This window comes from Homo sapiens, chromosome 5 (assembly GCF_000001405.40).
Source record: "Homo sapiens chromosome 5, GRCh38.p14 Primary Assembly".
Classification (NCBI taxonomy): Eukaryota; Metazoa; Chordata; class Mammalia; order Primates; family Hominidae; genus Homo; species Homo sapiens.
The window spans coordinates 29,709,248-29,723,291 of NC_000005.10; the positions used below are offsets into that span (position 1 = coordinate 29,709,248).

At 33.7% G+C, this 14,044-nt stretch overlaps 1 annotated feature.

Moving 5' to 3' along the window:
- Window positions 7,232-7,432: a silencer, noted in NCBI's record as "peak5212 fragment used in MPRA reporter construct". NCBI's record gives its function as "represses an SCP1 promoter by STARR-seq MPRAs in K562 erythroleukemia cells {active_cell/tissue: K562}" and the evidence as "EXISTENCE:reporter gene assay evidence [ECO:0000049][PMID:32103011]".

The following is a 14,044-nucleotide window of genomic DNA, read 5'->3' on the forward strand; positions in this document are numbered from 1 at the left end:
ATAAACTAAAAATGCCTTCAAGCCCCATTTTGCATCCAAGCTCGATTTATATTTGTTTATTACAAGTACAGAAACTCCAATATTTTATAAAAATTCTACAATTTATGTTTTAGCAAAAATATTGAGTATTTATACTTTCCAGTAAATCCTAAATAATATATGTAAATTATAAATTTTAAACTGTATACATCAAAGAGTTTTTCTTTGACAGCTATATTTGGGAATGTGCTTATACATGCACATGTGTTTGTGTGTGTTTGACTTACAGTCACTATTCCGGAAAAACAGATTTCAATAAGTCAATATGAAAAGAAAAAAAAGAAGCTAATTTCAGCAAATCAGGCACCTATGTCCAAGCTACTGTGATATCTAAATGAAAATTAAAGCACTATCTTAGTCCACTGGGCTTTTATAACAAAATTCCATAAACTGTGTGGTTTATAAAGAAAAGATATTTATTTCTCACACATTAGGAGACTGGGAAATAGAAAATTAAGATATCAGATTTGGCATCTAGGGAGGAGGGTTAAATTCCTAGTTCATAGATAGCACCTTTTTGACGTGTCCTCACGTGATGGAAGGAACAAGGGAATTTTTTCAGACAATTTTATAAGTTCAAGTGAAGTTTTCTTCACAGAGGTAAACAAATAGTAAATAGTAAAAAAAAAAAAAAAATCAGTTGTTTTGAAAGTCAACTAGACCATTATATGATAAAAAATATACGATATGTTATCTTTTCTTGAAGAGTTCATAGTCTATGTATAAAAATATGTTTATTTACAGAGTGAAGCTACTATGCCTTCCACTTCTTAGCCTAACTCCTGTAGCTGTAACAAAATTGAAATTCATGAGTGTTCCCCTCTCATGACTAATCACTTCCCAAAGGTCCCAACTCTTAATACCATCACGTTATGAATTAGAATTGGACAAAGTAATTTTGGAGAAACAGAAACATTGAGACCATAATGAGATGCATCTCTTCATTTTCAACAATTCATTCCCCAAATTAAGTTTTTTGGGCAAAAAAAAATATATTATGAAATAGTATAACGTTACAAAATTAACACAAATACTAGACTCCAATTCAACATCAGACTTGAGTTATTTACTTCACAAATATGTTTCTTAATATTAACTTTCAGGAGTATTATTTATTTATTTATTTATTTTATTCATTTTTTTTAGACGGAGATTTGCTCTTGTCACCTAGGCTGGAGTGCAGTGGTGCAATCTAGACTCACGGCAACCTCTGCCTCCCAGGTTCAAGCGATTCTCCTGCCTCAGCCTCCCAAGTAGCTGGGATTACAGGGGCCCATCACCACGCCAGGCTAATTTTAGTAGAGATGGGGTTTCATCATGTTGGCCAGGCTGGTCTCAAACTCCTGACCTCAGGTGATCCACCCACCTTGGCCTCTCAAAGTGCTGGAATTACAGGCATGATTCCCACTTCATCTGGTAGGAATAGACAGTAGGCAACCCTAGTAACTTCTGAAGAAGAAGACCACTTTCTTCTCCTTAACTGTTTATTTAAACTTTACTAGTTTTACTTCAGAAACTGTTATTTTATTCATGTTGTTATAATCACCTCCTCTTTTCCTAAATTAAGGTCTATGCCACAAAATTTTATCATGGGTTTAATAGGTGAAAAACATTCTATTGTCAAACAGATGTGGAAAATATTGGGTTATAGTAAGCTAACCTACCTTCATTTCCCCGGCCTTAGTATATATCAAAAACAAATAAAGACTTCTACTTTAAAAATCATACATACCATTGTTTTGTGAAATATTATTTTCTCCACTTTCTTGCTTCCAATATAGTTATGTCTGATTTATACCAATAAAATATTTATCATAGCCTGGATAATACAATTGTTAGATAGTACTGTTTTCTCCTTTATTCAAAATTTTAATTACCAAAGACAATGAAAGATTTTATTCAAAATTAAATTTTCAGTGTCCTAGTTATCTTCACCAAATATGGAATATATATTGACTTATAAATGAATAACTTAGTCTTTGCGATGATATACATATAAACTATTTTAATTCTCATCAAATGCTTCTGAAACTGGTCAGACAAGTGTGTTTGGAGTGTTTATTCCATAAACAGACTGGTATTGCTACTTTTGATTTTTTATATAAGACTCATTAACAATAATATTTAATTTGGAGTTTGGTCCAGGAATATTAAAAAGATCTACACTGGGCAATAGTATTCCAAATCTACAGAAATACAATCATGTGATTCTCCTTCATAAAGTAGGGCTAAAATAATTATAAGTTGAAATGTTAAAGCATTGAATGGTTATATGAGGACAGAGAAATATTTCCTAATTAATTTAGTCACAGATTAAAAATCCTCCAAATCTTTAGTTTACTATTAAAATGTATTTTATTTCTGAATCAGTTCACTGTTTAAATTCTTACTTTATTTATGAGAGAGCGTTATTTTCACATCAACTACTAGGTCTCCACGGACTGCTGCTTAAAAGAATCTTGAAAATCAGTTTTAAAGTCTCCTACTAAAGCATATTTCCAATTTACCACCTTACTTTTAGCTCAGTCAAATTTTAAAGATAAGGCATAAGGTATAGCTTGATCTAAGTACTGCCTATTTTTCTTGCTTTATTTAGTCCCTAATGAAGGTTATTCTCAGTTTTAATAATGTTTTTAGGGTGCCATTTGAAAGACTGTTTTTTCCCTCTTATGATGAACTGATGAGTAAATAGTTGATAGAAGCTCAAGGCTGCAGTTAAGTGCCTACATTAAGGAACTGGGGACTAGAAGAGAGGAGATAGAGAAAATACAAGGCAATGATGAACGTAAAGCAGATCAGTTGGAGGCAGCAGAAAGTGAGATTTCAGATGTTTCATGTAGAAATAATTGCTTTTCTTGGCTCTTGTTAAAGGATCTTTGAAAGAGGCTCTCAGAGTCTGAACTTAATTTCGACGTCTCAGTATATTTGATAATTTTTATTTTTTATTCTATTGTTCCCTTTAAACATTTTATCATTAAAATGTCTAAACGTCTCCCTTATGGCCATTATAATAAAAAAAAATTTCCTTGGAAAAATTATGCCATCTTGATGGGATGGCATAATTATGGGTTGAATTTTGACCCCCAAAAAGATATATTAAAGTCTTAACCCAAAGTACTTCAGAATGTGGTCTTATTTGGCAGCAGAGTCTTTATAGGTGTAATTAGTTAAGATGAGGTCATACTGGGATGCTGTGGGCTCCTGATAAAATAAGACTTCGTAAGAAAATGGCTATGTGGAGGCACAGAGGTACACAGGGAAATGCTGAATGAAAACGGAAATGTAGATTAGAGAGACACATCTGCAAGCCACAGAATGCCAAAGATTGCTAAAAACAAAACAAAACAAAACAAAAACAAAACAAAACAAAAAAACCTTAGAATCTAGAAAGAAGCCTGAGAGGATTTCTCTACAGGTTTTTTTGTTTGTTTGTTTGGTGAGACGGACTCTTGCTCTGTCACCAGGCTGGAGTACAGTGGCGCGATCGCCGCTGACTGCAACCTCCGCCTCCCGGGTTAAAGCATTCCCCTGCCTCAGCCTCCCAAGTAGCTGGGATTACAGGCACGTACCGCCACACCCGGCTAATTTTTCGTATTTTAGTAGAGATGGGGTTTCACTATGTTGGCCAGGATTATCTCAATCTCCTGACCTCGTGATCCACCCACCTCGGCCTCCCAAAGTGCTTGAATTACAGGCGTGAGCCACTATACCCAGACTTCCCTACAGATTTTATAGGGAACATGGCCTACCAATAGCTTAATTGCAGAGTTCTAGGTTCCAGAACAGTGAAACAACAAATTTCTGTGTTTCTAAGCCACCCTGCTTTTGGTACTTTGTTATGGCAACCCAAGGAAACTAATACAATTGATAAACTCAAAAATTAGATTTACAATAAGAATGCTATTGTATTAGTCCGTTTTCACATTGCTATAAAGACGTAACCAAGAGTGGGTAATTTATAAAGAAAAGGGGTTTAATTGACTCACAGTCCCTCATGGCTGGGGAGGCCTCAGGAAACTTACAATCATGACAGAAGGTGAATGGGAAGCAAAGATCTTCACATGGTGGCAGGAGACAAAAAAGGGAACAGGGAAAACCGCCATTTATATAACCATCAGATCTCGTGAGAACTCACTCACTGTCACTAGAAGAGCATAGGGGAACCGCCCCCATGATCCAATCACCTCCCACCAGATCTATCCCTGGGCACCAACTGGGGATTACAATTTAAGATCAGATTTGGGTGGGGGCACAGAGCCAAATCATATCAACTGTATAGTATGATTTTAAAAGGTTGTGCTTTAGCTAGGGGTTATTAGCGTTTTATGACACAAACGTCACTACAGCTCTTATCTAGTAGTGCTTGAAGAATAGTGAGGACTCTTCAACAAGATTGTATTAACAGCCTGGTAATTAGACCTAGAGCAAAAACTTAAGGCAATAGACCACATATTTTAAACCAAGATGTTATGGGTTGAACTGTGTTCCCCCACCTCTAAAATGTTTTGAAGTCCTAATCCCCAGTACCTCAGAACGTGACCTTATTTGGAAAAGGAGTCTTTATAAAGTTAATCAAGTTAAATTATTATGGTAAACCTTGATTGAATACTATTGGTGTACGTATAAAGTGTAGAAAATTTGGATACAACCATACCTGCATAGAGGGAAGATAATGTGAAGAGACAAAGAAATAAGATGTCCATCTACAAGCCAAAGAGAGAGACGTGGAATAGATCTAACCTTAACAACTCTCACAGGGAATCAGCCCTACTGGCATCTTGATCTCAAACTTCTAGCCTCCACAACTGTGACACAAAAAACTTTTGTTGCATAAACCACCCAGTATATGGTACTTTGTTATGGAAGCCCTAGAAAACTAATACACAAGTGATCCTCCAAAACTTTTTCACTGTGGATTACAAATGGTGGTTCAATACTTAGCCCCTGGGGTGAGCTGATTAGTAATTTATATCCTCTATCACCATCAGATTCCCTTGACAATTCCATTGTAATATTCAACATAGAATTAAAGGTAACAGCCAAGATTTTGTTACAAAATTTGTTTCAAATTACGATTATTGAGATGACTAAATAAGTTAAATCATGTAATGTGCTCAGAACAAGTGCCCAACACATGGTAGGTGCGATGTTAGAATTAACTGTTAGTTATTGCCTAAATGCAATTCTGAATTAACTAATAAATATATATTGGTCAGAGCAGCCCACCTAAAATGTAAAATTATTGAAATAATAAATAAAACCTTAATTTGAGAACTCCAATATTTTTCATAAGCATTTCCCTTCTATTTAGATCATTTAATCTCATGGTTTTTTCTTTTCTACGTAAAATTTTGGGTGTTTTTTGACCTGCCGCCAGCTTTGAATTACCTGACATTGTTTTGGTTTTGGTCATCACAGGAACTGGTGGAGGCCAAGGACACACACTGTTTCTTGTTATGCAATTCTAGATACTGTGTACTGACTAACTTCTAGTGGCCTCTTTAATTCAGAGTTTTCTCTCTGGCTTCCTAAAGTCAAAACTCATGGAGCATCATCTCTGTTCACCCACTTCTTGTCAGCTCTTGCAGCCATGAATTATTCCCTTTGACAAATAACATGGTTTTAATTCTCTCTGCATTAAATTAAATTATGCTGATAGAATTCTACCACAGATAAAGATATAGACATACATACAAATCCAGGTACCAGCATATCACTACAGAGAATCAGCAGACAGCATGAGAGGAAAACAAAGCTAATACTTCCATTCCCAGTGGTACTTGCTTTGCCTTTTGAGATCCCACAGTGGAGTAGCACTTTCTGACAATATATCATATTTCCATATTATGTTGATATCCCCCTGTCCACTTGGAAAATATCAGATGGTCTTTATGGTAAAGGTATGTTATGCTGTTGTTCTTTTCCCCTCCAATTTTCCATGTTTTCCATTTCAATTGAACATTTCTCAGCATTTTTTAAACTTACATTTTGAATGACATTGTAGTAATTGTCTATTCAATGTCAACACTGATTTCTGCTCTGCAAAAATGACAGAATTGAAATTTAATATTATTCATTTTTCCTTATAAATTTGTCATTCCTAGCCTATGACAGAGTTCAGCATGTCATAAGTATTTGTAACTGTCCAACACTGACAAGTGGATTGAATAGTATTTCCTAAACAGAAAAATTCTAAAGACTTCAACATATGAAAGAAAAGAATCACAACCATTTGACTTCTTTATAAGAAAGTGATTAATTAGACAAAATAATTACCTCTTTAGAAAAATATCTCTTCTCTTACAAAATGCATCTTCAAGATATAAAACCCTCTAATACTAACAACTAATAATATAAGAATTGTTTTCCCAAAATGAGAACAAGCACTTACACATAAACTTGTTACAGTGTTGCTGTACTGGTATCTATTACATTCATTTGTGAAGCTCTCTTTTTCTGTACTTCTTGCTTCAATTTGTGCATAATATTAATGTTTTTATTATGGTAGGAGGAAAGACAAGAATATGAAATGTTTTATTACTTACTTTCAAATACGTGACATAAATTATCAGATAATACATTCTCAAGTATGCTTCATGATTATATAGAAAATCAGAAATTTTAGAATTGAGAGGGACAATATGGATAATCTCCTACCTAACATTATTGTTTGTTTATATCTAATCATAGTTATTCATCAGGAATCCAGTATGCATAATATAATACATTCTATTTTTTGAATGATGATGTTATCAAAATACCTTTCATTAAAATGAAAATACTATGACTATGTGTTAATACCTCATTCTGGTCCTAGAACATAGTTGAAGCCAGCACAATTATAAGAAGTTTGGATAAGGAATATTTATAAAATATATATAAGAATGCCTGATAAGAATATACAGCAAAAACATCTAATGTAAAGCATAACAATTTAATATAGTGGATACTGTTAATACCTCACCCAAATCCTTCAGATATGTTTTGTTATCTGTAGGAACATATCCAGATATGTATGCATTTGTTTCTTATGTCCTGTGCCCAATTCTGTCTTTGGAAGACTGTCCTTGGACTACTGGAGCTACTTTACCAGCACATGTACAGATCCTGTAGCTTCTGTTAGGATATGAATTCTAACCCTCAAAGGTGACCTTGAGGCATGAGGGAGTATAATAAGAGCCTGGAACTGACTCTTAGGTATCTTACACTCTAGAGATCACCCTGCAGGCTCAGACTCAGGCTGACACTGCACGAAATTACCACTGAACTTGACTTGTCTCCCTTTCCTATCCTGCTTCCTCTGTCACCTACCAGCTTTTCCTGGAACACATTGTTCATAAATCGCTTTACATGTGTTGTCATCTCATGGTCTGCTCCTGGAGAATGCAATATAAGTCAGCTTTCCATTAGCAGACCAGAAATTATAAGAATGAGGATAGAAAAATGATAGAAAAATATTAAGGGAAAAATAATAGAAGTTACTTATACAAGAAAACATAAATAAATTTAAACATATTTTTAAAAATCTTCCAAGTTTGGAATACTAAATTCCCAATTACAGAGCTGTATGTGAATGAAGTATTTTGAGTCAATAGTTGGAGTAATTATCAAAAGTACTATTTGAATAAATAAATGCAGAAAAACTGAACTTGCTAGGTCATATTACTCCTCCTACAAATACTGAACTACTAATGTCACTTGGTTTAGCAACTAGAAACTTACGGAATATAGGCCTATATCAACAACACCGGGCAATACTGTGTTTAACATATCAAGCATCCAATGTGCAAGAAATACTGAGAGTACAACACTTCACGGAAGTTATACCCAACTCATCAAATAATTGTAGTCAAAACTATCATTCAATTAGAAGTGTAAAACAAGAACAGTTTTAGACAAGCTAAATCTTAGAAAGTTATTCTCAAAAGCTTAGAAATAGAAGAAACTTCCACAAAAAACCTACAGCCAATATAATTCTTAATGGTGAAAGACTGAATGCATTTTCTTCTAAGACTGGGAACAAGTCAAGAAATTACCTTTGCTATTTCCATTCATCATTATACTACAGGTTCTACTCAGTGCAATAAGGCAAAATAAAAATAATAATAAATCAAATAAAATTAAAATGTGTTAAAGCAGTCTTAATAGTGAAATTAAAGCAAAACTTTCTTTACTCCTAGAAGCAGGCATTATTCATAGTAGCCAAAACCGGAAACAACTCAAATGTCCATCAACTGGTGAATGCATAAACAAAATATGATGTGTCCATATAAAAGAATTTTATTCTTCAACTAAAACATGCTGATGCATGCTACATCATGAGTGTACAAAAATGCTTATACTAAATAGACTAAGCCAGTTATTAAATAATACATATGCATGGTTCCATTTACATGAATGTTTCACTGGTCAGAAAAATGCATATTTAAAGAGACAGAAATCAGACTAGTATTGACCAGGGCTGGGTCAGGGGGTGGATGGCAGGAAGTAAGAAACGTGGATCATCTGCATAAAGGCTCTGGAAAAATATGGGAGATGTTGAAGGTTTAAAATTGAATTGCAACGAAGATCGATGGTTGTACTACTCTATACATTTATTAAAAATCATTCAGCCTTAAAAAAGAATGAGGTCCTGTCATTTGCAACAACATAAATGGAACTAGAGATCATGATGCTAAGTGAAATAAGCCAGGCACAGAAAGACAAACATTGCATGTTCTCACTTATTTGTTGGATCTAAAAATAAAAACAATTGAACTCATGAACATAGAGAGTAGAAGGGCAGTTACCAGAAGCTGGGAAGGATAGTGAGGGGCTTGGGGGTAGGTAGAGATAGTTGATGGGTACGAAAAATAAAAAAGAATGAATAAGACCTACTATTTTATAGCAAAACAGGGTGACTATAGTCAGTATAACTTAATGGCACATTTTAAAATAACTAAAAGGGTGTAATTGGATTACGTGTAACACAAAGGATACATGCTTGAGGGGATGGATACTCCATTCTCCATGGTAAGATTATTTCACGTGGCATGCCTGTATCAAAACATCTCATGTATCCCGTAAATATATTCACTTACCATGTACCCACAAAAATAAAATATATAAAATAATTGGGTCGTTTAAAAAATCTAATGTAAATATTAAGGAATTGGCTCATGCCTGTAATCCCAGCATTTTGGGAGCCCAAGGTAGGTGGATCACGAGGTCAGGAATTCAAGACCAGCCTGGCCAAGATGGTGAAACCCCGTCTTTACTAAAAATACAAAAATTAGCCATGCGTGGTGGCGGTCTCCTATTATCCCAGCTACTCAGGAGGCTGAGGCAGGAGAATCCCTTGAACCTGGGAGGCAGAGCTAGTAGTGAGCCAAGATCACACCACTGCACTCCAGCCCGGGCGACACAGCAAGACTCTGTCTCAAAAAAAAAAAAAAAAAAAAAAAGAAAAAGAAAAGAAAAGAAATCAAATCAAACCAAATCTGAAAAACAAAACCTCTTTCTAACACCAGGGCACATTTAGTATTGCTGTTGAAACATCTAAGTGTGGTAAACACAAAAGAAAAATTGGAGCCAAGAGTTCTAACCCAATTCACAACAGACTGTCGCAAACTGTTAGCATGGTGTTTCTGTAGTTAGAGAAAATTGTACAGAAAGTACTGGTGGGACTCCTTGAAACACTGTAGAGAAAACTATATGAGCTAAAAAACCTGTGGGATTCAGAGAGAACAGTAGTTGTGTTTTGATATTTTTATTACTTTTAATGACTCTAAAGAAGCCTGAGTAAATCCAGATTATATAATATTATATGTTAACATATTACAAGGGAGAAACTTGAGTTAAAAAAAAAATAAGTAATTTGCCCAAAGCTGAACATGTATTCAGTTGCAGGTCTAGAACATGAGCCCATGTAAATTAAACCTCTAATTCCAGGGCTTGTTTTGTGATGCTTGCTTTTATAGTATTAAAAAGGAAAAATTAAAAAAAAAGTACGACCTTTGAAATTTCATCTTTGAGTTCTACACATGACAGTGTGATAAAAAGATTTGCAGCATGTACTGAGTCTGGCACCCTTATGGGTCTGGCGTCTTTCCTCATGCATTCTAGCAGGAGACGGAAATAAGAAACAAATGTAGGATATATTTAGCACTATGTCACAAATGCTATAAAGAAATGACTTAGATGGTAGTAACCTCAGTAAAAAGACAGCACTTTAGCTTAAATTTGAATGATGAGAAGAAGCTGCACATATGAAGCCTGAAGCTTACAGAGAGGAATAGTGAATCTTCCAATCAGAAGGAAGTGCATGTGCAAAGGCACTGCATCCAGAAATATCAGTGACAAGATGCTAAAAAGTTGCTAGGACAAGGGAAAGGTAGCAGGACAGGAGGCGGGACAAAGACGCAGGACCCAATTTTACAAAGCTGCATGGATTATGGCAATGCGTTTATAGTTCATGTAAACAGGAATGGAAAACCTCTGAAAAATGTTTGCAAGGAGGGCTCATGGTGTGATTTACATTAAACAATTCTATTAAAGCTAAATATATATGTATATACCCAGTGACCTAATATTTCCACTTCATATAAATATGCCAACACACACACACACACACACACACACACACACACACACACACACACACACTCTGTCTCCAAAAAACATAAACTAAAATGTTCAGAGCATCCTTATTTGTAATAGTCAAAACTTAGGAAACACCCAGATGCCCATCAATACTAAAATGGATAAATAGTGACATAATCATACAGTGAAATACTATGCAGCAATGAAAATAAAAAGACACAACAGCACAAAACAATATGACTATATTTCACCAATAGCATACTGAGTGAAAGAAGCCAGGCACACACACAAAATATACACAAAATATATACCATATGGTTCTCAGAATGTAACTATGAAAACAAGCAAAACAGACTTATGCCATTAAAGTCAATACAATATTTAATCTTGGGCTACACAAGGCAAGTCTGCAGTCCTATAATCAGTTTCTTCATCTAAGTGCTGAGTTTGTGAAAGTAGATAGTGGAAATACCTCAATCTGTAAAACTATGGTATGTTAATTCTTGTGTATATTTTAATAAAAATAGAGAAATTTAAAAAAATAAATACTTAAAACTACTTAAACAACTCTTTAGTTGTAAAGAAATTTAAAACAATTGTTAAACTAATAAGATAGGTGGATCTTATCTATAAATGATTGTTTACAAAGTTATTCACACACTATATATATAAATGATAAATTACAGGTAAATGAATAGATGGATAAGCAGATAGATAATAGAGATGAAGACAGACATGCACTGGGTCTTGAATTAAGATGTGTTTCTTATGTATATGTGTTTTAACAAAAAAAAATAGAAAAACTTCTATCTAATCTCCATTAATTTTTTGTTATCTAATCTTCATTATTTTATTCCTCTTACTTGCTTTCAATTTTGTTTGCTCTTATTTTTCTTGTATTTTTATAAGATGATACGTTATTTACAAACTTTTTTTTAAAGTGGCATTTACAGCTGTAAATTTCTCTCTAAGCAATGTTTTAGTAGCAAGGTGTAAATTTTGGTATGTTGTGTTTTACTTTTCATTCATCTCAAAGTATTTTCTAATGTTCCTGTTTATTTCTTCTTTGCCCATTGGTTATTTAATAATGTGTCATTTAACTTCCACATATTTGTGGATTTCCCAAATTTCTTCATGTTTTTGATTTCTAGTTTCACTTCATTGTCATCAGAGAATTCACTTTCTATGGTTTAAATCCTGTTAAGTCCATCTTGCTTTATGGACTTAACCTATGTTCAGTGCTGGAGTATATCCCTTGTGCACTTGGAAGGAATGTGCACTTGGCTGTTGCTAGGTGGAGCCACCTATAGTTGCTTGTTAGTTCTTAGTGGCTAGTCCAGTTCACCCTGTGTCTTTTAAAATTTCTGCCTAATTTTCTTACTCATTATTAAAAGAGAGTTATTTAGGTCTCCAGATGTTTGTTGAATTATTGATTTCTCCTTTAAATTCTTTCCATTTTGCCTCATACCTTTTGAGGCTCCACAGACAGGGGTATATATGTTTATAATTGTTGCAACTTCTGGATTGATTGAGTCTTTTAACTTTATAAAATTCTTCTCTTGAAATAACATTTTATTTTAAAGTTGATTTTGCTTATTAGTAGAACCACTCCAACTCTCTTCCCATTGCTATTTGCCTTCTATCTCTTTTTGCATCCATTAATTTTCAACCAATTTTATCTTTGAATCTGAATTATATAGGAAGTTATAGTCAGATTTTTTACCCCATATGATGATCTCTGCCCTTTGACTAATTTAATCCTTTAAATTTTATGTTGATTTACATCTGCCATTTTACTTCTTGTGTATTACGTTTCATTTTTATGTAAAAGTATGTGGCTTAATTTCCAAATATTTGTGAATTTCTCAAATTTTCAATTTTTTTCAACATTGTTTTTCTTATTGATTTATAATTTAAATACATTGTGTTCACAGAACATAATTTAATACAGCTAATCTCTCCCTGGACTTGTGACTTACAGAATTATGAAATAATGTTTGCATAGTTTTAAGCTGCAATGTTTATAACTATGTTACCCAATAATAGACAAAATTTATTAACTATACGTTATTATAGGGAATTCTTATTGAATATTTAAGAGAAATATACAGAAATAGAATAAACAAATGATAAATGACAACAAAGATAAAGGAATACATCAAAAAGATATAGAAACCAGTAAGAAAATATTAAATGGAGGCTACTAGATATATTAAAAAACTGAATGACAAAGATGAATTTAAACATAAACACACACACACAACATCAATCATTGACTCTAACATTTTTAAAAATAATGAATAAAGTTTGGATAAAGTACAGGCTCATCACTTTAGTTATTCTGACATTTGGCTGAAATATACCTATATTTTCTTTTTAAAAATATTCAGTATCGTTTGTCCTGCTTTAAAAACTATAAAAATGTGGCCAACATTCTGGGATTTCAGAGTAAATCAAATTAATTCTCATGACATTGGTTTTGCAATTGAAATTCTTATATCTATAAAGGAAATTGAATTTTTCTACTAAGAGTTCAAGTGGCAAATAATTTTTAATAACTGGTGACTTAGTGCTTTTGACCCTTGCTTTTTCTAATAGTTTTTCATTTTCCCTGAAGGAAGCATCATCCTGCAAAATACAATACTCTTTTCTCTTTTCAATATTATGTGTCTGGAGAGATTTATCCGCTATTTTAGAAAACGATAATGAGTGCCACATTTATTTTCCTAATTTACTTTTTTATCGACAATGAATACATTCTTATAATTGACTACAGGATGCGTTATTTCAAGTGGAACATCAAAAAATTATCATTTATTTTGTAAAGAGAATTAAGAACATAATGTGCCAAAGAGATAAAGGGAAATAATCTTTTCTTTTGTCTCTTTTTTTCCCCTCAATGCTGTTTTACTCAGCCTACCTTGGTTGAAAAAGAGTAAGTTATCTCTTTAGTACATTTTGGTTTAGAAGCTTTGAGTTTCTCCTTGTGTTCTTTTCATTTGAATACACTTATTCTTCTGGATTTGGAGAATAGGCTCCCTGATATGTTCTAGCTTTGACAGCAAAGGCAATTTCTTTATCCAGTGACAACTCAGGTGTTCCAAAGTGACTGGCCACTGGGGCAATAAGTGTTTCCTTTGTAAAGATTCTATATTAGACAGGTCATAGTTGTCGGGAACCGAAGTTGTATTCTCCCACAACTCTTTGAATCAAAGTGATATTTTGGCTCCCAGTGACTGACTTCTTTGGTTATCCCCAAATTGATTCTGAACTGGGTTTGAGGACTATAATTTATTGGGAATATTTTTATACCACGATCTATTAATTGTCAGGGAATATTATGAATAGTGAATAAGATGAAGATGCAAATGTCATTAAAAAACAAGCCCCTGGCACAGCGAAGGTAGGTAACTGTAGACTTTGG